Below are 27,879 nucleotides of genomic sequence, written 5' to 3'. Positions count from 1 at the left end.
TCATGGTGAATAAGAAAAGATATGACAATGGCGAACAAGGAGCCATGGCATCCAAGAAGAAAACGACACCAGTCTGAAAGGACTTTAGAAAAGCAGAAAGACTGCAATTCTGACCAGCCTTCTATGAGACTTGCTACCTAGAGAAAAAAGATCAGCAGTTAAACAAGACTATGCTTGCAGGAGTCCCAGGTAATTAGTTGTGTTTCTGTCTCTAAATTAACAGTTACTGCACTGTGTTGTTTTTACTCTTCGCAAGTAATTACTTCTGTTGTTTTCTAAAGTCATGAGTTAAAGAACACTGTCAGGAACGTTTCATGAAAATGCCTGATATGGTGGACCTAATATTTTTTCCAGAATTTACCATGGGAATGAATGCCCTGTAAGCCAGCACTCCATCACCATTACCCTGGTACTAACTGTTTTACACGTAGCACCCAAACAGAAAGTGGCCCTGGACGAGAACTGCATGCTGTTTGCATAAGCCATGTTGAGTGGCTCCAGAAAATTTAATGATCAGATGCCACAAACCAATATCCTGTAAACATTTCTTCAGTATTTATTCAGGTAAGAAGCTGAGCTGTGGAATCCTCTGCTGCCAAACTCACATACCCACTCAGCAAATGCAAAGTTGTAGGGTTAACCAGACCTGTGCCTTTGAAGGTGGTTTAGCTACCACTTAAGCCTGGCCCTTGCCTCAAGCAGCTTCTAACCAATAGAGTATTTTCCCCGAGGTAAATTCTATAAAATAAAGTTCTCTCCATCTTATCACATTTCCAGTGATTGTCAAGCTCCTCTTTTAGTTGGATCCAGCCCAGCCTGCTCCTGATCTCTCTTTTTCTCTACTTTTCTCTAAATGTCCCTACCACTTGGGTAAAGTCCTTGTTCTAGCCTCTGCATGAAACAAGAGAGTCGGTGATTGTCAATGGTCCACAGTAATCTTCCCATCACAACCAAGGTGCCAAGACCGGGCTACTCTCTCCTCCATCCACAGATTCTGCCCTGCTAGGATTTCATTACCCCCTTGATATTTGCTTGACCAAACCTTAGCTACATAAAAATGTTTACGATAGAAAAAGGATAAGCTATGATATGTGCAAGTTCTAAAGAAAGCCCTTAGCTATTACCCTCCTTGAGGAGTCTGTATTTTCTGAAATAAAACAAAATCCCCTTTTAAAAAAATCCAGGAAAGTATAAAACTACTTAGGTAAATACCTAAATGAGCTTTGAAAAAAAATCAATCCTAATGCTAAGAAAGATCTTTGTCAAATTCACAGCAATTGAGTCAAATTTGTCTACTCTTGTAGACAACTATTCTCTCTGTGTGTTTAGCCACCTGGATACTGCCACCACCACCACATGTGCCCAGCCATTTATTTGGGAACTGCTCCTTCTCCACTCCAGTTGAACCTGTGTCAAGCTACTAATCAGATGCTCAAGCCCCCACCAGAGGAATGAACCAATGGCAGTCGGGGGCTATCACTGAGATTGTTTGAACTGAAGCCTATTGGGTAAAGAGACAGATGGATGTGCACAGGGAACCATAGTGGCTCTCTTCCCTATTTGAACCAAAAGTCTCTCTGAAGGAGAAGAGGAGGAGGGCAACTCCAAGTAACAAACAAACCCAAGAAAGAAAGAGCAAGATGATGACCTTATATGAGTTTCTGAATGGAGTTGTTTCTAAAGCCAGACTTCCCAGCCAATGTGTTAGCCACTACATTGCCTCTTGGCTTAAACTAGGTGGCGTTGAGTTTCTGTCACTTACAATCACATGAGTTCTGTTTGAGGGTCCTTGTATATTTCTCCACTCTAAGCCTATGGCTTACTCTGACAGATATATGCATACTACCCGCTCAACTTCTCTGAGCCAAGACTCACTTACCATGTTTCCTCCTCTAGAAAGCCTTCTTTGACCTTCCAGGGAAAGACAAGCATATTCTCCCATTTTCCCAGAAGGCCCTGTGCCTGCCTCTTTCCAGCTCTTCTCTCCTGGTCAGTCTCTCCCTTTAGACCATAAGCCTCTGGAAAGACTGATTCACCCTCCTTTTTACATCCTTAGGTCCAAAGCTTTGCATGGCACATGACAGATATTCAGTAGAAGTCCACCAAGTAATGTTTGTTACATGAAAGCCAAAGAACTTGCCAATATGAGATATTCAGACAAAGAAATAGCTCTCTATAGAACTGCCACTAAATAATATCTTCTGATTTAAAAATGATAGGTTAAATACAAACATCTCCCTGGTGAACTATAAAAGTTATGGACCTATTTTCTTTCCACCTTCATCGACTCTGTAAGAATAAGGAAATATCATTTATAGCTAATTTTTAATTAAGGTTTCTATTTGCTCAACAAATATATATATTGAGTACTCAATATTAAACTCTATAAATTCAAAAGTGAGATTGTCACTATTTATGTCAGCCATCCAAAATTGAACTTATTCCATCATGCCATTGGATGAAGGAAACTAGGTTTACAAAATGGGATACAGGCTGGGCACGGTGGCTCATGCCTGTAATCCCAGCACTTTGGGAGGCCAAGATGGGCAGATCATGAGGTCAAGAGATCGAGACCATCCTGGCTAACAGGGTGACACCCCGTCTCTACTAAAAATACAAAAATTAGCTAGGAGTGGTGGTACGCACCTGTAGTCCCAGCTACTCGAGAGGCTGAGGCAGGAGAATCGCTTGAACCCGGGAGGCAGAGGTTGCAGTGAGCCGAGATGGTGCCACTGCACTCCAGCCTGGTGACAAAGCGAAACTCCATCTCAAAAAAAAAAAAAAAGAAAAAGAAAATGAGATACATGCAGATCAATACTTCTATTTTCTCTCTTTGATGCTTTTAGATCTTCCAAATTCTTTTAGAATTTTCAACACTGTAAGTACTGTGTGCGTGGCTATACTCTGATTTTGCATCATCAGAAGCCTAGAAGTAGGCAAATTAAGGAAGACAAACTCACCATAAGGTTTGCAACCTGTGAAGTCTGTGGTGAGCCCTAAGATTTTTAACATGAAGTACAACTGGCATGTTTTCACTGCTGCCATTTCAGGGCAATAGCAGAAGTCTGAAAAGTATCTTCATAAAACTGTCCATAAAACCAGATAGTTATCTCCAGGATTTCACTATGCTGATCATGTAACCAGATTCATCTGCTTATCAACCCACTCATCATTATCTATCACTACATCTAGGTGAGAGTAGCACAGATCTGGAATATTCCATCAGGGCAAAGGTGTCTTAGAGGAGAGGAAAACCCTAGGGGGACCATAGTTGTGTCATTTTTTTAAATGACAGACTAACAAACATTTATGGTGATTGCAGGGTGACCATTAACACAATGGTAAGTACAGATAGTAATAGATTCTAAAGATCACTCTGCTCTTTCAGCCAGAGGACAAGTGATTATCAAAATTAACCCAAGCGAAATGAATGCAATTCGAGGTAAAGTAAAATAAAACCCCTCAGGAGTGTCCAGGAAAATCATATAAAATTCTATTTTCCTATGGACCAGTACCCCAAGTTTTGAATGTTTTCTCTACAGAGAATTCATAGTTGTAATTCTACTGTTAAATGTGCCAGCAGTTCCCAAAGTGTGGTCGAATAAGCCCTATGGGTCCCCAAAATAGGCTCAGGGGGATGAAAGGGCCTCTGTTTTCCAGCTACATAGACATGTGAGGCCACCACCAACAGAATGCAGACATGAAAATCCAGCTGTTTCCACTGAATCCAGACAGTAAAGAGATGTATAAAATGGAAAACAAGGTCACTCTTCTCACTAATTTTGTTTTACTTTGGAAAACACAATTATTTCTCATAAAAATATATTAGTTATGTTACTTCATATGTTTTAATTTATTAGAGTGACATTTAAATAAATTTTAAAATAAGCATTTTTAAAGCATTCTCTTTAAAATTCTAATGGAGTAAAAGCATAGATATAACACACATAAACAAAAGCAACTGTGGTCCTTAGTAATTTCTAAGAGGGTAAAAGGATACTAACATCAAGAAGCTTGAGAACTACTGAAATATACATTCTAATTAAATTTTTCAGTATCATTCCAAATAGTTTGATGCCTCTTCTTTTTTCTTTTTTCAAGTGGAGATGGGGTCTTGCTATGTTACCCAGGCTGTTCTTGAACTCCAGTGTAATGGCTCAAGCGATCCTCCAAGCTCAGCTTCCTAAACTGTTGGAATTAAAAGTGTGAGCCACTGCACCTGGCCTTTGATGTCTTTAAAGCTACTGCCTTACCAGTTTCAAAACACATAAGAGAGCCATTAGCACAGGTCACCATAAAGAAAACACAACCTCGAAAACAGCAAAAGTACTCAAAAAAAGAAATGAGCCCCAAAAAATGGAAGTCAACATAGGGTGATGCAACCTCCACACTTCAACATGAATAAAAAGTAGCAGGAATAGCAACAAAATAGATAGCAAATCTCTATCCTATCATAATTAATCTTCATTCATGGAAAAGATATGGCTCTTGAGAAAAGAGACAAGACTGTTTTCTTAAGCCTTTTTTTATTCTTTATTTTTTCTTTTTTATTATTTTTTGCTTGTATGTTTGTTTTCAGAATCACCATCTGTTCTGATTTCTTCTTCTTTTTTTTTTTTTTTTTTTTTTTTTGAGACAGGATCCCACTCTGTCGCCCAGGCTGTAGTGCGGGTGGCACAATCTCGGCTCACTGCAACCTCTGCCTCCTGGGTTCAAGCGATTCTCATGCCTCAGTCTCCTGAGTAGCTGGGATTACAGACATGTGACACCACACCCAGCTAATTTTTTGTATTTTCAGTAGAGACAGTGTTTCACCATGTTGGCCAGGCCGCTCTTGAACTCCCAGTCTCAAGTTGACCCACCTCGGCCTCCCAAAGTGCTGGGATTGCTGGTGTGAGCCACCGTGTCCCTCCCACTCTAATTTCTTCTTAACTTTATGTTTCATCAGTTCACTAAAGAGTAAGCCAATACAGGAATCTTACCAATTCAGCAGATTAAGTCACAGTAAATAAACAGTGCTTGACAGCCTACTAAGTGCAAAGTATTACATAGGTACACAAAGACCAAGGCAGATATCTATGTGCCAAGTCCTTTCCTGGAGATATTTGCTCTGTAGTAAATTTACAGTATGTAATGCATACAACATTTTCCTGGATTTAGATCAACCATGTGGAAGGGTTCACCTCTGAGCACATACAAGAGAAAAGCCAGAATTTCTTAGAACAATTAATTCTGTCACCTAAAACAGGAACCTGATTATTTCCTTCCAGGGCTTTGTAAAGTGTGTGGCTCTTCTCTACCATGTTGATGGATGGTCTTTTTAATCATAAAAGGACAAGCCGAAACACAGATTCCTAATTTCAAATAATATCAGCACACTTCACATAGACACGCCCATTGCAAGTGGCTGTGACGTAACCTCTTATTGCACATGATGCTTAAGGAGTGACCAGTTGTCTTACTTCAAGGATATTGGAAGACCAGAAAGTAACTATGCATAAAACAAACAGGAAATACGAAGAATAACAGTCTGGGAACAAAATTTCATCACTGGGGTCTTTCAAAGCATGTTGTCAAATGTCTATAGAACTATGTCCCACTTGAACTCAGTTTGAGAGATTTCACAAAATCCACCTAAAACATAGTCTGCACTTTCCCATTCATTACCATGACAGCAAAAATATTACATAAAGGTGACCTATCCAGAAAACCTTTATACGCCTCGTACCTTACAAATATGTCCTATGAATTTCTTTAAATGTGTGAAAGATGGTTAATAATTTTTTTCTTTATTATTTAGAAACGGGGTCTTGCTCTGTCCCCCAGGCTGGAGTGCAGTGCCATGACCTTGGCTCACTTCAACCTCAACCTCGTAAGCTTAAGCCATCCTCTCGCCCCAGCCTCTCAAGTAGCGGGGACTACAGGTGCATGCCACCTCAACTGGCTAATTTTTGTCTTGTTTTTCCAGAGATGGAGTCTCATTATGTTGCCCAGACTGATCTCGAACTCCTGGGCTCAAGCGATCCTCCTGTCCCAGCCTCCCGAAGTGTTGGGAACATAGGTATGAGGTACTGCTCACAGCGGTTAATCATTTTCCAAACAAATTATGGGAAATTAGTAAATTCTAACCAGTTAGTTGTAACTTACATTTTATTTTATATTATTAGAGAACTAAGTTCTGTCCATGCTTCTTTACAGATTATTATTTTATTTTATTAAAGAAACAATTTGTGGATGATTTCTAGAAACTTCACAGTACTCTAGGATAATTACACAATTTGAAATCATTTCAGATAATTTGGTATGGACAGAATTAAGGAAAAAGCAGCTTGTGCCTCTGGATTTTTGTGTAAAAATAAGTTATTGTTTATTAAATATAGCTGTTTAATAAACATAATCAATTAGGTGATAAATGCTTTCCACATATTGGGTGCAGTATTTGGCTTGGTGGTAAAAATGTGCTGGTAACTACCTTGTTTATTAACTGAATTTTAATGGCACAATTGTTAAGAAATTATAGTCAGACAATAAGCCCCATTCTGTAACTCTTGTTATTTTAGAAGAAGGTAACTCTTGTTATTTTCAGAGATTTTCCATGGAAATAATGATCAGTCTTGGGAATATAGGATGAAATTCAGTTAAATCTCCCTCTTCCTCCTCTTCCTTTCCTCAACTTTCTCTCCCTCTTTCCTTCAACTTCTCTTTTTCTATGTCTCCTTTTCTCTTCTCTCAGTTCATCATTAAATATTTTTGTGTGCACTTCGCCACATTATAAGACCTCGAAATTATTCTATGTGCTTACCTGGTTGGCAATTGGTCCCTGTGCCACATTCGCAGTGAGAAGATAAGCTCTTAGGCTAAATCTTGGCCAAAGACTGGCACATAAGCGAAAATCACTTCTTGTATCAAATTATATTTTTTGCAAGTCTTCAAAATTAGTGGGACCTCATAAACATCTCATGCCATTGATGGCAAATGCCATCAAAGACTTAAGGTAAGATGATTTTTTCAGCTCTAGAATGCTACCAGCAGAAGGCCAGATTACACCTGCTGAGCCGATCAGAAGAGCACAAACTTTTCCATTGTTTGAGAGCTTTTCCTCAAATCTCAAAATACTGGGATTTCTGTCATGTTTCTAAAAGCTCAGTGATGCTCAACATCACTAATCATCAGAGAAATGCAAATTACAACCAGAATGAGATATCATTTTGTAGCCAGAACGACTATTATTAAAAAGTCAAAAAATAACAGATGTTGGCAAGGTTGCGGAAAAAAAAGGAACACTTATACACTGTTGGTGGGTATGTAAATTTGTACAGCCTCTATGGAAAACAGTATGGAGAATTAAAAAACTAAAAATGGAATCACCAGTCAATCCAGCAACCCCACTACTGGATATCTACCCAAAGGAAAAGAAATCAAGATATCAAAAAGATACCCGCACTAATATGTTTATTTCAGCACTAGTCACAAAAGCAAAGCTATAGAATCAACCTGTAGGTCCATCAACAGATGATTAGATAAAGAAAATGTGGTATATATACACCATGGAATACTATTCAGCCATAAAAAAAATGAAATCATGTCTTTTGCAGCAACGTGGATGGAACTAGAAGCTGTTATCTTAAGTAAAGCAACTCAGAAAAAAGAAAGATAAATACTGCATGTTCTCGGCTGGGCACAGTGGCTTATGCCTGTAATCCCAGCACTTTGAGGGGCAGAGGCGGGCCGATCAAGAGGTCAGGAGATCACGACCATCCTGGCTAACTCGGTGAAACCTCATCTCTACTAAAAATACAAAAAATTAGCCAAGTGTGGTGGCACGTGCCTGTAATCCCAGCTACCTGGGAGGCTAAGGCAGGAGAATTGCTTGAACCCAGGAGGCAGAGGTTGCAGTGAACTGAGATCCTGCCACTGTACTCCAGCCTGGGTGTCAGAGCAAGACTCTGTCTCAAAAAAAAAAAAATATACTGCATGTTGTCATGTATAAGTGGGAGCTAAATAATGTCTACACATGGAAATAGAGTCTGGAATGACAGACACTTAGGCCAGGAAAGGTGGGAGGGTGAGAGGAGGTGGGAGATAAAAAATTACATAATGGCTATAATGTACATTATTCAGGTGATGGATACACCAAAAGCCCACACTTCACCACTACACAATATGTCCATGTAACAAAACTACACTTATACCCCTTAAATTTACACACTAAAACATAAAATAATTCACTAATGCACTTTCATAGGCCAGAATTGGCAGAGTTCTTTAAACTCTCTCTATGGAGGCAAATGGAAACACAGAATTAAATCTAAAAAAAAAAAAAAAAAGAAAAGTCATGTCAAAAGCAATAGACTGACCCCCTTTCAGCTTACACAATGCACCGAGACACAGACATATTAAGTCAAGCCTGGAGCTCCAAGCACTTCCAAAAGAAAACTTTTCCATAAGTAATAGCTGACACTTGTTTTTTGAAACTTTTTCACAAAAAGGAGATTTGAAGTAATTTTCTAAAGAGTTCAGAAAGAAAATAATTTTAAGGCCTGAAATATCTGGACGTAATGTGCCAAAGTCGTTTACTTTCCAAATGATTTAAATGAGGGATTCAATTTTTTATTTTTATTTTTTGCTCATATAGGAACATCTCTGAAATTTTTTGTTGTTTATGTCTTCAGAAACAATATCACAAGTATGCTGTGAAAAAAAAAAATCCTTTATCAAACAACCACACTTTAAATATTTACTTAAACACCTACTATGTTTCATCTGTGCTATGAAACAGAATGGTGCATAGAACACGCTTAGAACTTTGCCTACAGTTCATTCCTCCTTTGCTAAAATCACCATCCTTTTTTTTTTTTTTTAGACGGAGTTTTGTTCTTGTCACCTAGGCTGGAGTGCAATGGCGCAGTCTCAGCTCACTACAACCTCTGCCTCCTGGGTTCAAGTGATTCTCCTGCCTCAGCCTCCAGCATAGCTGGGATTACAGGCGACCACCACCACGCCCAGCTAATTTTTGTATTTTTAGTCGAGATGGAGTTTCACCATGTGGGCCAGGCTGGTCTCCAACTCCTGACCTCAGGTGATCCGCTTGCCTCGGCCTCCCAAAGTGCTGGGATGACAAGCGTGAGTCACTGCACCCTACCTTCTTTTTTAAATAAATCTTTAAATTCAAAATCATGTATTCGTCATAATGTGATAAAAATCTTAGAGTTGAAATGGACGTTAAACGTCATGTAACCTACTCTTTTAACACAGTAAAATTACCTAATGATTTTCACAGATGACAGTACTATGCTTTTATAAAGGCCGTTTTGCAATTATAAAATCAATTATAACTGACCTATGGAAATATCTCTCAAGTGAGTTTCTAAGTCCTTGAATCTCATATTTTTAAATTTGTACATAAACTCATTATCCAGGAAGCGCGGATTGAATTACTCCTATTGGATTTTCTTGGCAGCAATCTCGTCTTTTCCGAGCAGTGCCCTGCCAAAATCTCCAACTCCCACCTAGTGTCACTCCTCAGAAAGCCATCATATCTTTTATCAGTTCACTAAACAAGAAACCAACTAAAATCAGTTTTTTTAATCAAGTAAGTAACTTGGAACATTTAAGGTATAAGTCACTGCATATTTAATTATTATTATAAATTAAATATATATAAATATATATAAATTAAATAATATATATAAATATATATAAATTAAATAATAGCCAATACGCTATTTATAGAAAGCAACAGAAATAGGTTGCGTGAAGAATATTTACTTCCGAAGACTGCTTCAGAGCTTACATCACAATAATCTCCTTTACCTATGCCTTTGCTTTCCTGTTGTGTCTGCTTGGAATTATTTTCAAGCCCAATGAGACCCCTCCTCCTTTGAACAGGACCACCATAAAGCATTCTTGGATCCTGCCAAGACGCTGCTAAGCACAGACTCCTCTGAGCACACGTATTCACTGCAGTCCTTACCACATAGTTCTGTAATTATGAGCTCTTACTCATCTTTCTATCCTTAAGTACCGGATACTGTTCCTCTGCAAGAGAAATATCCCCCTGAAACTCCTAAAGCAGCAGCTCTGTGAGTGCGGTCCTGGGACCAACAGCACCATCTGATTCTCTGTATCACCTGGGAACGTATTATAAATGCACATTTCCAGGCTCCACCCTGAAACTACTTGAATCAGAAACTGGTGGGAGGCCTGATGCGTGACCCTGTAATCCCAGCGCTTTGGGAGGCCGAGGCGGGCTGATCACCTGAGGTCAGGAGTTTGAGAGCAGCCTGGCCAACATAGTGAAACCCCGTCTCTACTAAAAATACAAAAATTAGCTGGACATGGTGGCATGCCTGTAGTCTCAGCTCAGGAGGCTGAGGCACAAGAATCCCTGGAACCTGGAAGGCGGAGGTTGCAGTGAGCCGAGATCGCGCCATCGCACTCCAGCCTGGGCAACAGAATGAGACTCTGTCTCAAAATAAAGAAACTCTGGTGGGGGGTCGGGGAACAGTGAGGAAGGGACAGCAAGGTGGGTTGTAACCAGCTCTCCAGGTCATTCTAATGCATGCCAAAATGAGGGCTTTATCTCTGAAAGAAAATTTCCCAGGTGGGGAAATGCAGCTGATGCGAGGATTCTCAGCCCTTTTCCCTGGACTTTAATCTTGTCCTTGGGATTCTGTCACTCTGACCCCACTCGCTGCTATCACATGGATTTTCCTTGAAAACTCTGACCATCAACCAAGGAGGATGGTGTGTATTTCTTCATGCCCGTTAGTTTAGCTGGCACAAGCCACGATTTTCAGACTTTTCTAAATGCAAAGAAAAGCAAAGGCTTAAAAAGGAAGAAAGAATAGGAAACAAAGCCCAGTGAAATTTGCAGAGCAGCTGATTATCCTGCAGTTAACTTTAACCAAAGAGAATGACTGTCCTACTCCACGCCCTTTCTGAAAAAGAAGCAATTCTGATATCCTAGAATTCCAATAAAGTGGCCGTCTCAGATACCCTGCCAGCCAAGTCATGTTCCCAAACACAGCCTCATACAGCAAACCCACCTGGGTGACGCAGAAGTAGCTCTGGAGGTACAGACATCAGGGGGTCTGCCTGACCAGCAGAGACTTTTGAGCAGGTTATTAAAGTTTTTAACCTCTCTTTTTGCTTCCATAAAATGGAGATAATACGTTTTATACATGATCTAAGAGCTAAATAAGATTATCTCTGAAAAGGCACTTTATAAGCTGTGAAGCGTTAAGGCATCATGTCATATCTATATGATAGGTGTGATATAGTGTATCATACATAGAGAGACATTATATATAGTTACATAAAATCGATACATAATATTAGAAACATGTATAATTATATTAAGGTTTGCTTACTGTTAATATTTACATGGCAAGTATTAATCATATACCCAAAGATCAATATAATTAATTAAGTTTATAAAAACAGTAATAAATTTCTTTTCTTCCTTTTTTTTGAGATGGAGTTTCACTCTTGTTGCCCAGGCTGGAGTGCAGTGGTGCAATCTCGGCTCACTGCAACCTCCGCCTCCTGGGTTCAAGCGATTCTCCTGCCTCAGCCTCCCAAGTAGCTGGGATTACAGGCACGCGCCACCACACACAGCTAATTTTGTATTTTCAGTAGAGACCAGGTTTCTCCGTGCTGGTCAGGCTGATCTTGAACTCCTGACCTCAGGTGATCCGCCTGCCTCAGCCTCCCAAAGTGCTGGGATTACAGGCATGAGCCACCGCACCCAGCCTTCAAAAATAGTAGTAAGTTTCAATGTCTGATAAACTTTGATTTTTACAATTTTATTGCATTCTCCTCCCTTTAAAACCTTTTTTTTTTTTTTAGACAGTCTCACTCTGTCGCCCAGGGTGGAATGCAGTGGTACTACCTTGGCTCACTACAACCTCTGCCTCCCAAGTTCCAGTGGTTTTCGTGCCTCAGCCTCTTTGAGTAGCTGGGATTACAGGTGTGTACTACCATGCCCGGCTAATTTTTGTATTTTTAGTAGAGATGTGTTTTCACCATGTTGGCCAGACTGGTCTCGAACTCCTGACCTCAAGTGATCCGCCCACCTCGGCCTCCCAAAGTGCTGGGATCACAGGCATGCACCACTGCACCTGGCCCAAAATCATATTTTTTATTGGAGAAATTATGGGAATTTTGAAAAAAACAAAAAAAAGTAAAAACACTTGTAATATCCTAGTCGGAAATTAAGTTAATATTTTCCATTTTTCTATACATCTCTGGTATAGAATTATAACCATATAGTAAATAGTGTATTGTAATCTGCTATCTTCACTAAGCAACATATCCTGAATCTTTTTGCTATTTGGAAACATTCTCCCACGGAACTATTTCTATTAGCTACATAGTAGGCTATCATATGGATACACCAGACTTCATTTCACCAGTACTCTTTGTTAGACATTTGGATTGCTTCTAGGGCTTCACAGTTTAAAATGTATATTTCATATATTTATCCTTTTTCTGTCGCTATTTCCTAAGAGTAAATTATTAGAAGAGAAGCAGAATTGTTAGGTTTGTGTTATGAGCACTTTTAAGACTTTGAAATCTTAGAGCCAACCTGCTGTACCAGAAAGTTGCATCAATTTGCACTCTTGCCAGCGGTAAATGAAACTCCTTCATTTCTCACATTGTTGGCCAATATAGTGTGATTATTTCTTTGGGCTTTGCCAATTTTGTAGGGTTGCAATGCTATCATATTTTTATTTCTATTTACATTCATTTGATTACAGTAGAAGTTGATATAGGTAAGTTGTTGAGAGTATTTTAGAGTTAATAAACCTCCAAATGAGACTATTTTAAGCTTAAAACAAGAAATTCAACATTTCATTTATCAGAAAGAAGCATATAAATAATGTTTATTATAGGTGTCACTAAGATCAGAAAGGCTGACTGCGGTGGCTTACTCCTATAATCCAGCACTTTGGGAAGCTAAGGTAGGAGGATCACTTGAGCCCAGGATGTTGAGACCAGCCTGGGCAACATAGCAAGACACCATCTCTGCAAAAAAGGATAATAAGTAATAAATAAAAATAAATTTTAAAAGAATCAGAGCCAGGTGCTGTGGCTTACACCTGTAATCCCAACACATTGGGAGGCCAAGGCAGGCTGATCACATGAGCCCAGGAGTTACAGGCCAGCCTGGACAACATGACAAAACGTGGTCTCTACAAAAAAAAAATACAAAAAAAAAAAAAAAATAGCTGGGCTAGGTGGCATGCGCCTTAGTCCCGATTTCTTAGAAGGCTGAGGTGGGAGGATTGCTTGAGCCGAGGAGGTTGAGGCTACAGTGAACTGTGATTGTGCCACTGCACTCCAGCCTGAGTGACAGAGTGAGAAATAATTTAGATAGTATAACTACAGATTGTAAACAATTAAATTCATGTTATGGATGTGTATGTAAACATGAATATAGATTATATAGATAGAGAGAGAGATCTGTATCAAATGCAACTTTATCCTTAGGATCTTTTATAGTTCAATTAAAGGCCGTTTTATTAGGTCTTTGCTGGTGTTTTAATGGGTATCTTCATGCTAGTCCCACAAACACCCCTAACATATGGTAATATCAGAGGAGCAACATGGCAGATGCAAGAATTTAATCATAAACAATAATGGCAACCTTGCCTTCAAACCACTGTCATTACAGTGATAGCTCTAATTTGCATCATTACAATTTGTTCATTCTTTTCCAGGAGGATTACATTTTACATGCAGCTAAAAATTGAATCCTGCAGGGTGTAGTGGCTCACACCTCTAATCGCAGCACTTTGGAAGCCAAGGTGGGAGGATCGCTTGAGTCCAGGAGTTCAAAACCAACCTGGGTAACATAGTGAGACCCTGTCTCTACAAAAAGAAAGAAAAAGAGAAAGAGAGAGAGAGAAGGAGGGAGGGAGAGAGAGAGGGAGACAGGGAGGGAGAAAGTTTAAAACCTGAATCTTTGGCTGAGCGCAGTGGCTCATGCCTGCAATCCCAGCACTTTGGGAGGCCAAGGCAGGCAGATCATTTGAGGTCAGGAGTTCGAGACCAGCCTGGCCAACATGGTGAAACCCCATCTCTACTTAAAAAATTAAAAAATAGAATTCAAAATTAGCTGGGCATGGTGGCACATGCCTGCAATCCCAGTTAGGAGGCTGAGGAAGGAGAACCACTTGAACCTGGGAGGAGGAAGTTACAGTGAGCCGAGATCATGCCACCACATTCCAGCCTGCTGGGCAACAGAGTGAGACTGTCTCAAAAAGAAAAGAAAAGAAAAGAAAAGAATCTTCAAGATTTACGCTGCATTTCTTAAAACCTGCATTCTGCTTCTCTTCTGCACTTTATGACCATAATTCAAAAATGAGAGCTTTGTATCTTTGTAAATGTGATCCAAGTTAATCCCAAGAAGCTCCTTATGTTCACTAAGATGAAGAGGGTCCCCCACAGCCATTTGACTGAGGATTTACTAATGCCTTTATTTTCATTTTTTGGCTTATAAGTATAAAAAACAGAAGTGGAACGCTTATAATCCCAGCACTTTGGGAGACCCGGACAAGTGGATCACTTGAGGTCAGGAGTTCGAGACCAACCTGGCCAACATGGTGAAACCCTGTCTCTACTAAAAATACAAAAATTAGCTGTGCATGGTGGTGCGCACTTGTAATACCAGCTACTCTGGAGGCTGAGGCGGAGAATCGCTTGAACCTGGGAGGCAGAGGTTGCAGTGTGCTGAGATCACGCCATTGCACTCCAGCCTGGGTGACAGAGCAAGACACTGTCTCAGAAAAAAAAAAAAAAATTAGCCAGGCATGGTGACGCACACCTGTAGTCCCAACTACTCAAGAGGCTAAGATGGGAGGATTGCTTGAGCCCAGGAGGTAGAGGCAGTAAGCCAAGATTGTGACACTGCACTTCAGCCTGGGCCACAAAGCAAGACCTTGTCTCAAAAAAAAAAAAAAAAAAAAAGAAAAAAAAGAAAGAAAAGAAAAGAAGCAGAGGTTGACCATACATCCAAAAGAAACATTCCCTATTTGTAAGTTTTTAAATAGTACCACAGAAAAAGTAAGCAATGAGCTTTCTTGAAGTAAATTAGCCATCACATGTGGCATAGCAGTGGACTCAGAAGTTAGAGATGATGAGTAAGAAGACTCAGTGAGGTGAAGGCTGAGAGAGAACATCTGAAACGTAAAAAAGAAAAGTTTCTTGAAAATCTACCATGTGCTATGTAATGGGTATGGGGTTTTACATAAATTGACTAGTATTTCAAATGCTGGTTCTCCAGGGAATATTACATGAGTTGTACAGTACACATACACAAAATATATGCCCAAGGGTTATGTCTCCATAGGAGGGTTCCAAATTGCTTTTGGTTTTTGTTTTGTTTTATTTTATTTTATTTTTTGAGACAGAGTCTCACTCTGTCTCTCAGGCTGGAGTGCAGTGGTGCGATCTCAGCTCACTGCAGCCTCGAACTCCCGGGCTCAGGCTATCCTGCCTCAGCCTCCTGAGTAGCTGAAACTACAGATGTGCACCACCGTGCCTAGCTATTATTTTTTTTTTTTAGAGATGGGTTCTTGCTATGTTACGCAGGGTGGTCTCAAACTCCTGGGCTCAAGCAGTCTGCCTGCCTTGACTTCCCAAAGTGCTGGGATTACAGGTGTGAGCCACATGTTAATAATATGTTTTTTAATACTAAATACATGGTAAATTATAATAATGGTAAAAGCGCACTCCCTCAGACAGATTTGAAGTACAGGAAAATAGGAAATCCTGATTCTACAAATACAAGCTCTGGGTACAAATTTTTTCAGTGCTACAGGACAGCATCTTAAGCATGTTTCTGATTTGTTACCATTTTCTTAGATGAGTCTTTTTAGGCCCTTGGCACTGCTCTGTGGGTGGAGACATAGTTGCTACATGCGCAAATACAGTACACCTGAGGACAAAGCTTGTCAAATCACATCAGCTCCTAGGTGGGTCTGTTACCTGTTGAATTCACATGAGAACGTCGTTGCTCAACCCTGTACCCTTGCGTATTCCTTAAACCAGTTTGGCTTTAATTGGATTGTATCTAAGCGAAAGGTGTATCTACTCAACATTTACGTGGAGTGCTCTAAAAGAAGGCTTTTCATTTCAGTCGTATTCTGGTTTAATTCTATCTCTCAGGAAATAAGGAGTCTTCTTCAAGATAACCAATACTGTTTGCATCTTAAATCTCCTGCCCTCTGTGACAAGCCCTACTCGGTCAGCTAGAATTAGGGAGAACTACTAGGAATGCGCTCTGCCCTAAAGGCAGTTTTAAATGTAGGTGGGCTTATCCCCTGAATTCAAGGCGTGATGTAGGGGGACTAATCCCCTGAATTCAAGGTGTGTCGTGATTCTTATGCTGTTTGTCCATGAATATGGGTGCTAAGGGCTAAAGACTAAACAGCAAAGGAATGACACACGTAGTATTTTCCTGGTTAGTCGGAGTTATAGAATTTTAGAAATGGAAAGAATCCCAGATATTTATCTAGACTGATTCTCTCATTTCCAGGTAAGAAACCCACCTACAAAGGGTATGACTCACTCAAATTCACACAATACATTAGGGAAATCAATCCTTCTCTCTGCATCAAGAGAGTAAACTTTTAAAAGATAAATGATACAGAAAATACCCTCCCCCAAAGTGGTTTCATAGAGAGTTATGTTTAATAATTTGGTGAAAATAAAGCAATTATTTAAAAATAAAAAACTAGGAGACTTCCCCACAGTGTTTACTCCCTTTATTTATTTATTGTCCCACTGAAACTTAATTTTTAAACATTTTATTATGAAAAATCTTAAATGTATACGATAACAGAAAATGGTCAAGTGAGCCCTTGGGTACACATCAAGGGTCATCACTTATCAAACCACGACCAATCTTGTTTAATCTAAACTCTCCGCTCCATCTCATCATTTTTGAAGTGGATATCAGACATTCTTGTCATTTCATCTGTAAACATTTCAGAGTCTATCTCCAAAAGTTAAGGATTCTTTTTTTAAGCATCACCATGATACCATTATCACTCATAAAAATTTAACAATAACTCCTTAATTTAAATAGATTTTTTAAATTTACATAAATTATCCTTGGCCTTAGAATTGTGACATACTACTACAATTTGATAAATACTGCTTCACTGATTTATTCATTCAACAAATAGTGGCCAGGCACGGTGGTTCAGGCCTATAATCCCAGCACTTTGGGAAGTCAAGGCCAGTGGATTACTCGAGCTCAGGAGTTTGAGACCAGCCTGAGCAACATGGTGAAACCCTGTCTCTACAAAAAAATACAAAACTTAACCAGGCATGGTGGCATGCACCTGTAGTCCCAACTACTTGGGAGGCTGAGGTGGGAGAATCGCCTGAGCCAGGGGAGGTTGAGGCTGCAGTGGGCCATGATTACTGTAGTGGGCCATGATCACTGCAGTGGGCCGTGATTAAGTGCAGTGGGCCGTGATCACTGCACTCCCGCCTGGATGACAGAGTGAGGCCCTATCTCAAAAAAAAAAAAAAAAAAAAGTAAATACTTAGTGAGCATTTATAAAAACACCCACATATGTTTTATTTGCATGGAAGGCTGGGGAGGAGGCCTAGATTCTTACTTCTTGAAAGAGAGCAGAGAATGGAAGGAGAAAGAATTCTGGAATGAGGCAGAGTTGAGTTAATAGCTGTGTAAACATAAGCAAATTTCTCAATCTCTCAAAGCCACACTTTGCTTATCTGTAAAATGGAGATAATGATGCCTATTAGCAAAGCTACTAGGAGGGCTAAATGAGATTAGATACATAAGGTTACAGAGCCCAGCACAAGTCAACACTCAAAAAATAGCAGCTCTTTTTCTCTCAGACACTTTTGAAAGATTGAGTTACTAATATTTGTTCAATCAGATTTATTAGCTTTAATTAATTGGATATGTACTTTAAGGCTCATTGTTCTCTGAGTTGTACACACAATGCTTTAAAATAACTAAAAGGTCTATTCTCACTTATGTTTTTTGTTTATTTGCTTTTAACTTATATTTTAGAGACAGGGTCTTGCTCTGTCACCCAGTCTGGAGTACAGTGGCACCATCATAGCTTGCTGTAGTCTCAACCTCTCAGGCTCAAACAATCCTCATAGCTCAGCCTCCTGAGAAGCTAAGACTACAGGTGCACGCCACCACATTTGGCTAATTTTCATATTTTATTTTAGAGATGGGGTCTTGCTATGTTGCCCAGGCTGGTCTCAAACTCCTGGCCCCAAACAATCCTTCTACCTCAGCCTCCCCAAGTGCTAGGATTACCAGCATGAGCCACTGCACCTGGCCTATTTCTCACTTATGAAAACTGAAAGCCAGTGTATCAATGGCCAGAGAGGTCCAAGAATTATCAGAGATTTGTTAAACACTGTCAGGTTCAACAAATAATATTTGATGAATTAATGAGTGAATGAGTGAATGAGGGAATGAGGAAATCTCCTCCTTTTCCTCAATATCTTCAAGAAAAAAAAATCCTTATCCACATAGAACAATTTAAAAGGCTTAAATGACGTTTCCTTTTGGACTTTTTACTGTGCACTTTTTCAATACATGTTCCTATTATTAAGGGGACAAGTTTTTATCCTAGGTAACTTGTGAAAGTAAGCTGTTGTTCTGAGATTTAATTCTAGAACATTGCCCAACTGGCTTTTACCTTTGACAAAGATGTAATCTCAGTTCATAATTCAGCATTCATGTAGCACTAATTGCTAATAAACCCTTTACCATTTACTGTTCAGTTGTTTTATTAGTGTATTAGTCCATTTTCACACTGCTTTAAAGATACTACCCAAGACTGGGTAATTTATAAAGGAAAGAGGTTTAATTGGCTCACAGTTCTGCATGGCTGGGGAGGCCTCAGGAACCTCACAATCATGGCAGAAGGAGAAGCAGTCACGTCTTCCATGGCAACAGGAGAGAGAGAGGATCCAGAGCAGAGAAAAACTGTCGTATAAAACCATCCAATCTTGTGAGAACACACTCACTATCAAGAGAACAGCATGGGGAAACTATCTCCATGATCCAATCACCTCCCTCAGTCAACACGAGGGAATTACAATTTGAGATGAGATTTAGGTGGGGACAGAAAGCCAAACCCTATCAATTAGACTTTTCTCAATGTGCTCCTCTAAGGTAAGCCACTATTATTATCCTAACTTGGTAAACAAAGAAACTGAGGCACACAAAATTTAAATAATTTGTTTCAGGTAAGGAGATGAGTCACTGCATAGAAGAGCCTAGAACTCCTGTGTTTCAGCAGATCTCACCAAGCTAAGCACTGAACACACAAGGCCATTCAACACAGTGGTACTCCGACACCCCTGTGTCACGACCCCTGCGTCACCTCTCCCACTAGCTTGGTTGTACTTCCACTGTAATTCATTTTTGCAGCCCCCGTTGCTAACACATACTGGGTATACAGTAGGTGCTTAATCAGTGGTTAAATAATTGATTTTTTAAAAATTATTTTTAGAGATAATGTCTGGCTCTGTCACCCAGGCTGGAGTGCAGTAGTGCGATCATAGCTCACTTTAACCTAAAACTCTTGGGCTCAAGCGATCCTCCTCCCTTGGAAAGATGTTTGTTGAGAATCTACCATGTGCTATGTAACATGCTTGGAGTTTTACATAAATTGACTAGTATTTCAAATGCTAGTTCTCTGGGGAATATTACATGAGTTATACAGTACACACACAGAAAATGTATATACCCAAAGTTATGTCTCTCTAAGAAGATTACAGATTTTGATTTGTTTGGGCTTTCTTTCTTTCTTTCTTTCTTTCTTTCTTTCTTTCTTTCTTTCTTTCTTTCAGACAGAATCTTACTCTGTCACCTAGGCTGGAGTGCAGTGGCATGATCTGGGCTTATTGTAGCCTTGACCTCCTGGGCTCAAGCAATCCTTCCACCTCAGCCTCCTGAGTAGCTGGAACTGCAGGTACATGCTATCACACCTGGCTTTTCTTTTCTTTCTTTTTTTTTTTTTTTTTTTTTTGTAGAGATGGGGTCTCTCCATGTTGCCCTGGCTGGTCTTGAACTCCTAGGCTCAAGCAGCCCTCCCAAAGTGCTGTGATTACAGGAGTGGGCCACTGCACCCGGCCGTGGTTGAATAATTGAGATATAGTGCCCACTGAACTGACTGCTCTAATGAGGTACACAGCAAGATACTCTGCTAATACCTCCGGGAGTCAAAGGCACGCCCGTCAGCCCATTCTCCATTTGTGGCTTGGATCCCACTCTCTCCTGCCTTCTTGAGAAGCGTCTATTCTTTATTAGTTCGTCTCTCTCTTTTCAAGTCCACTGTTCCTCTTCTTCCAGATCCTTCCATTAGCATTAACATGTTCAAGCCTCTACATCATCTCTAGAGATCACATGGATTTGGAGATTTTAAAGGAACTGAGCTTCAATTACACACATCCTCCAGAGACTGCCGCTTTTCCCTTTACCTCTTCCAGACCTTCCGCCTCCATTTCCCGCCCAGCCCAGCTTCCATTCCCACTCTCCAACTGCAGGGGTTCTCAACAGCCACCAGAGCTACGTAGATCTCACGTTACAAAATCCCCTGGTAGTTACTTTAATGCTCAAGCCTTCCACACAGTGACCCCACCCTCTCCAGCCATCGTCCTCTCTGCAGCCACCCGACCCATCCGCCTTGCCAGTTTATTCTGCTTGACTAGGTGATTAAATGGTAGAGATTCTGAAAAGACTCTCTCTTCTCATCCTGTATTCTTTCCCTCGGCAATCTCTGCCATGCCCGTGGTCTGTTTGCCAGATGAATATCATTAGATCAGCGACTTCCCAAATTACATCTCCAGCCCAGAACTCTTCTCGGCATTCTAGATCCATCTATCAAAGTACCCATCCAATGACTGCACCCTTCAACCTTCCTGTTTCTGAAACCTCCCCCAAAATGCCAGATTCTCCGCTCTGGACGTGGTCTTCCTCTCTGTTTCAGGAAATAGAAAGACAATCTGTCCAGCTGCAGAAGCCAGAAACCTAGGAATGGCCTTTGTTCCCTCTCTCCGTTCCCACGCATTTCAAGTCATTCACCAAGCCCCATCAATATCACTTCCTGAAAATCTTCCGGTGTGCCCACATCCCTTTCCGCCCCTCCCTTAGACCCTAACTCTTCTCTCCACACTCACTCTTTCTCTCTCTCTCCTTTTTTTTTTTTTTGAGACAGAATCTTGCTCTCTCTCCCAGGCTGGAGTATGATGGCATCTCAGCTGACTACAACCTCTGCCTCTTGGGTTCAAGTGGTCTCATGCCTCAGCCTCCCAAGTAGCTGGGATTGCAGGTGCGCCACCACGTCCAGCTAATTTTTGTATTTTTTTATTTGTTTGTTTGTTTGTTTTTTGAGATGGAGTTTCACTCTTTGTTGCCCAGGCTGGAGTGCAGTGGCACGATCTCGGCTCACTGCAACCCCCGCCTCCTGGGTTCAAGCGAGTCTTCTGTCTCAGCCTCCCAAGTAGCTGGGATTACAGATACCCGCCACCACACCCCAGCTAACTTTTGTATTTTTAGTAGAGATGGGGTTTCACCATGTTGGCCAGGTTGGTCTCAAACTCCTGACCTCAGGTGATCCACCCACCATAGAGATGGGGTTTCGACACTCTTGCTCAGCCCTCTCCCCACTCCAATCCACACTCCACACAGAAAACACTACCCTGACCTTGTAACACATATGCCTCCCTTAAAAGCCCTCCAGTGTCTGCCCCTTGCTCTGAGATTAAAGACCTAAATCTTCAGCATGACCCATTAGGTTTGCAGGATTCAGCCTCTATATCCACCTGCAATGTAATTCCCTCCCACTCTCACCCTGAACTTCTGTCTTCCATCCTCTGACCTTCCCCCAGGTTCTTAATTGTGAAGTGCACCATTCCCCTCAGGACTTGACCTATGCCGTTCCCCCTCCTAAAGACCTTTCCTAACAACCAGCAACCTTCAGATAATAAACAAAATACATTAGATCAAAAAACAGCTCAAATATTTCCTCAGGGAAGGGTTTTACGATGTGATCTCCCAGATTAAATCAAGTCCCATAGTCTCTGTGACGTGGAGTTTTTCCAAAGAAATGAAACTTTCATGGGATTCAATTTCAATGACATGCCGGGATAATAAAGTAAAGTAATTCCATTATGTTGTTTCTATGAGCAGAGTTCGAATAACCAAATATTATCACTGGAACAGATTTTAAGGTCCTTCAATTCAACTGTACCCCACCTGGTTTCCACAGTGCTCTGGTGATTAAAGCCACTAAGGAAAAGGCCCATCGGCAGGACTTTGCATTCCTTTACCCCTGTTTCACCTCTGTCTTCATCAGAAAACTCTACTGTTACAGGGAGCCTCTCTGTACCTATTCTGGTTCAGGGACTGCTCAATTTAAAAAAAAAAAAAGGAAAAAGAAAACTCTACTATTATAAATTGAGATTCCATAGAATATTCTGCAGGAGGAAATGGTTTAGCTACTAAAAGGGATTTGAAATACATTGGTCTAGCCCAGCTATTTCACGATCTAAACTGGGAGGTTGAGTCCTGCAAACAGAAAGTGACTTGCACCAAGTCCCAAAGCTAATTAATCGCAAGGTCAGGGTTGCATTCCATAGAATCTGTGCAAAATGGTCAGCTTGCAACCTGGAGAAGAGCTGCCAGCAGAACTACTGGCCAGAAGTGTAAAATGAGTGAGTTGTTCATTGCGAGGAAGAGCCAGTAGGTTGAGATACAGGGCGTGGAACACATTGTGAAATAAAAGTCAGATATAAACAATTCTGGAGATATGTGAATCTTATTTTACTGGCTGTCATTTTCAAGATTACAAAACCCCAAACTAATTTTCTCCTTCAGCCTTTGTTGATACAAAGATGCACATATCTCAAGTATCTAGCCTAATCTCAGTGAGTACAATAAATATTATGACAAACAACTACTTAACAAATTTTCCTTAGGCCTTATACTGTCAATGTCTCCTGGATCCAAAAAAAGAAAAGCAGATGGATTGAAAACCCACAGTGATAAGGTCTATCACTGGCTAGTTCAGATGGCCAGAGTACAGTGTGACTAAGGCCTGGACCTTGCAGTGCATCTCTTTTCCATAGCTAACTGTTCCCTAATCGTTGGCCAACAGACGCACCACTGGGTCACTGACTACCAAATGCTACTCAATCATCCTTCAAGGTCAGCTCAAGCATCTCATTATACTGTCTTCAATGTGGTCTCCCCTCTGACTTCTTGTAGGTTTTAGTAGCCATAGTATTCACTTGGTGGCCAGGCACAGTGGCTCATGCCTGTAATCCCAGCAATTTGAGAGGCCGAGGAGGAAGGATCACTTGAAGCCAGGAATCTGACAACAGATGGGGTCACAAAGCAAGACTGTGTCTCTACAAAAAATAAAATAAAATAAATTAGCCAAGCATGGTGGTGCACTGTAGTTCCAGCTACTTCAAAGGCTGAAATGGGAGGATCACTTGAGCCTAGGAGGTTGAGGCCGTAAGTGAGTCGTGATTGTGCCACTGCACTCCAGCCTGGGCAACAGACCCTGTCTCAAAAGACAAAACAAAATAAAACAAAGTATTCACTTGGCATTTATCTTGGGATACTCCACATTGTTATTTAATCCATTAGCATATGTGGTCTTCCTAATTAAATTATAAATCTCTCTGCTACAAAGAGGATATCTTATGCTTCTCAGCAGATCTTATACCCTGCCCCACTGATGATAAGTACTCAATAAATGTTCATTGATAATAGTAATGATAATGCTGACAACAATGAGAGATGAACCAAGAAAATTTCCCCTTCATCCTCTGCTGGAAAAAACTGCTCCAAATGCATACCCTGCTGTTCAAGGCATTTCTTATGAAAGCACAATGGATAAAAAATAATAATAAACATTTGTGCTTGCTTTACAGTTTATACACATTATCTCACATGAAAGCTACTCTTATTTTCTCTTTTCTGGGGAAGAATGCTGAGGCAAAGAAGAATTAGGCAGCTCTCTCATCATTCCATAGAGGCCCTGAAGAAGGAAGAGAAAGCAATGTTTTCATATTGGTAAAGACCAGTAGGAAAAGAAAAACCATCACTAAGGAGACGTCTTATTTAAAATTCAGCAAATAAATAATCATGGGGAAATAAGTTCCACATTGGGAGAAGCATATAAAAGGAGACATATCATTATTGTGATTAAACAAATACTTCTTTCTCTGTTTTTTTTTGTTTGTTTGTTTGTTTTTTGTGAGACAGGGTCTCACTCTGTCACCTAGGCTGGAGTGCAGTGGCACAATCACAGCTCACTGGAGCCTTGACCTCCTGGATTGAAGTGATCCTCCCACCTCAGCCTCCCGAGTAGCTGAGATTACAGGCACACAGCACCATGCCTAGCTAATTTTTTTTAATTTTGGTAGAGATAGGGGTCTCTCTATGTTGTCCAGGCTGGTTTTGAACTCCTGGCCTCAAGCAATTCTCCCATCTCAGCCTCCCAAAGTGCTGAAATTACAGGCATGAAGAGATTACACCTTGCATAGGAATTACATTTTGTGTTTTAAGAGCACAGAAAATAAATTAAGACATCATGCCAAACACAGTGTTTCATGCCTGTAATCCCAGCACTTTGGGAGGCTAAGGCAGGCAGATCACCTGAGGTCGGGACTTTAAGATCAGCCTGGCGAACATGGTGAAACCCCGTCTCTACTAAAAATAGAAAAATTAGCAGGGCATGGTGGTGCACACTTGTAGTCCCACTCACTCAGAAAGCTGAGGCAGGAGAATCACTTGAACCCAAGATGGAGGTTGAAGTGAGCTGAGATGGCACCACTGAACTCCAGCCTTGGCAACAGAGAGAGACTCGATCTCAGAAAAAATAAATAAACAAATAAATAAAAATTAAGACATGATCCTGTCATTCATTTATTAATTCAATGGATATTTATTAAATGCCTGCTCTGTGCCAGCATTGAATGAAAATAACACTTGACTTCCAGACAAAAGACCTAGATTTAAGACTGGCTTTGTTATTTAGTAGCTGTGTGGCCTCTCTTTGCCTCATTTTCTTTGCCTGCACAGTAGCAATAATAATAAAACTGACCTCACGGGTTATTCTAGATATGAAAAGATGAAACACAGCCCCCAGCTTGCAGGAGGCTGCAGAAACACCATGGTGACATCTGGCTCAAACCCAGACTTAACAAATAAACTTCTCAATATTTGCCGCATCAGGACACGTGATTGCTATTGCTTTGGGGCTGTAAAATTAGGGGTGCTAAAAAAAATCAGAGGTGGTGAAATACACAGAGTAAGATACAGAGTAGGGAAGACAATGGCAACATAGGCACAGAGAATCAGAGAGCCAAAAGGAACCTCGGGGCTGGTCCAAGGCTCTCACTTTTCTTGTAAGGAGACAGCACAGGCTTTGAAGACAAAAAGCCTTGGGATTTTTTTTTTTTTTTTTTTGAGACAGAGTCTTGCTCTGTCACCCAGGCCTAGAGTACAGAGGCAGGATTTCGGCTCACTGCAACCTCCGCCTCCCGGGTTCAAGTGATTCTCCTGCCTCAGCCTCCCGAGTAGCTGAGCTTACAGGCATGCACCACCATGTCTGGCTAATTTTTGTGTTTTTAGTAAAGACGGGGTTTCGCCATGTTGGCCAGGCTGGTCTCGAACTCCTGACCTCAGGTAATCCACACACCTCGGCCTCCCAAAGTAGATCCTTGGGTTCTGATCCTAGCTCCCATACTTTCTAGTTGTGTGGCTTTGTGTCCAGGACAACCCCTTTAGCCTCATTATGTCATTTAATGGGAATAATCACGACTACAACACAATTGTTGTGTGGATTCAGTAAAATAGAGCATGAAAATGTGGAACGTAGTAAGCTAATAGTAAATGACATGTTCTTTTTAGCATTTAGATGTTTTTGAAATATTTTTGTTTTCTGGGATATTTTTATGGCCTGGAGAGGGTGGGGTGAGTTACATGGTAGCCGAAGAGAGAAAGATTGGAGTCCGGAGTAAAGACTGGTACAGAAAGAAGGTGCCAGATCGAGTTCTGTTCCTTTGTCTGCTGGGAATTCTGACAAATCCAGGGACAAGAATGGTATAGAAACTGAGTCATAACTCTGCTATGAGACTCTGCTGTATTCTATGAGAAATGGAGTCAACTTTACCGGGAGAAGACTGTAATCTAAGCTAGAGGAGAAACTACAGCCAAGAAAATCTCTGCTCTCCGGGAGCAGGCAGCTAGTTATTGATGGAGCTGGAGTTCATGTGCACATTTTTTCAGGATACCAAGCTTTGTACAATCCATTTATTCATTCATTCAAAAATAAATAACGGCCACCACCCCAGTGCCTAGAATCATAATCATAGGGTAATATACAAAACTCAGCTTACCAGAAATGTACAATGGCAAGCAATGGCCTCAGTGAAAATTACTGTAATCTAGAAACCCAAGGAGAACAAATCAATGCTGCCTCTCCCTGCTCATTATCCACTGTGGATTTCAAACCAATCAGAAGAGATGTGCATGCTGGGAGAACACTGAGAAGCTAGGAGCAGCAATCTCTGCCAGCCACTTGTGACTTCCTGTTCTGTCTACTGTGCTTCAGGGAGGGACTTTCCTAGGTGGTATGCTAACCTATATTTTTCAAACAATTAGATTGTCTTCAAACCAAAACCTGCCAAAACAGAAGAAACATTTTAACAAAACCCAGCGAAAGTAGCGTATACCTTTTTTTTTTTAAATCCACAAATGTGAAAAGTTTTTGGTAAGCTTGAATACTCTGCTACCAAATATTACATCCAATTCTGTTGTCTGAGAAATGTTTGAGGCCACACGATAGGAACACCACATCCTAATGAGTAATGAGGGTTACATAACAGCAGAGATAAGCAACACCACCCGCAGATTGCATGAAAATGCTAATGCCGACTTCTTGGCCATAATGTGAAGTAAAAGGAAAGAAAAAACCCTCCAAATATTACTCCCAATTGTTGCAGAAAACCATGCTTGGTTTGACATGAGTGCTGATGACACTTTTTCTAATTGTTAGCTCTTTGTTTGAAAGGTCACTTTTTTTCATTCACAAATCGGAGTGTTTAACAAGAACCTTAGGAAAGTTGATTGAATGAGAACTGAAACCATGGTTTGTGGACGATGGAACAAAAATTCTGGGAAAGGAAAAATCCTAGAGTCTTCCTCATTCAACTGTGACACAATTTCACAATGGAAAGTTCTTCAATATGTCTAAGTTGAAACTCCCTTGCTGAGACACCAAGGGGACAGCTCTTCAAGAGAATAAGTGAAGATTAAAAACATAGACTCCCTGAGGCAATGTTCCCCTAACTATCGTCCTCAGAACACCAGCAACTTAAGATAGTAATAATAACAGTGAATTCCCTTGAACCCAAAATAAAACTTGAAAAGAGAAAAAGAAAGTAGAGGGATAGGTAAAGATAGCAACAAAGTAAAATATGCTATTTATATAAAATATGTTTTCCCAGCCAGTAGCTTATCTTTTCGTTTTCTCAAAGACGTCTTTTGGCAAAAAATTTTTGATTTTAGTAAGATGTTATTTTCTTTTATGATTGATGTCTTTGCATTCTATTTAATAAAACTTTGCCTTTAACCTGCCCCCAAAAAAATAATAATCATGAGTTTGTGGGGGAAAGATTAACTATAATTAAAGGAATTATAATTAAATGAGTTAAGTAAATACTATATTCCCACCTTAAAAGTTTGAAATGTACTATTAGCATATTAAAATTTTTCGGAAGTCCAGTAGTAATGATGCCCACATAGCCTAGTTTATAAGCAGGGTCCTTCCCCCACCCCCACCCCCAGAC

At 40.5% G+C, this 27,879-nt stretch overlaps 1 long non-coding RNA gene across 2 annotated transcripts in view, besides 2 other annotated features; it reads right to left on the bottom strand.

Moving 5' to 3' along the window:
• Positions 1-27,879, bottom strand: part of LOC107984205 (uncharacterized) — a 36,994-nt gene that overhangs the window by 7,533 nt on the left and 1,582 nt on the right. The gene's annotated exons all lie outside the window — the stretch shown is intronic.
• Positions 16,762-17,690: an enhancer, noted in NCBI's record as "H3K27ac hESC enhancer chr10:8234509-8235437 (GRCh37/hg19 assembly coordinates)". NCBI's record gives its function as "activates a minimal SCP1, AML or CMV promoter by ChIP-STARR-seq in naive H9 embryonic stem cells {active_cell/tissue: H9 hESC(naive)}" and the evidence as "EXISTENCE:reporter gene assay evidence [ECO:0000049][PMID:30033119]".
• Positions 17,691-18,619: an enhancer, noted in NCBI's record as "H3K27ac hESC enhancer chr10:8233580-8234508 (GRCh37/hg19 assembly coordinates)". NCBI's record gives its function as "activates a minimal SCP1, AML or CMV promoter by ChIP-STARR-seq in naive H9 embryonic stem cells {active_cell/tissue: H9 hESC(naive)}" and the evidence as "EXISTENCE:reporter gene assay evidence [ECO:0000049][PMID:30033119]".

This window comes from Homo sapiens, chromosome 10 (genome assembly GCF_000001405.40).
Source record: "Homo sapiens chromosome 10, GRCh38.p14 Primary Assembly".
NCBI lineage: Eukaryota > Metazoa > Chordata > Mammalia > Primates > Hominidae > Homo > Homo sapiens.
The sequence above is the reverse complement of the archived record's forward strand: the minus strand, read 5'-3'. Positions and strand labels throughout refer to the sequence as shown.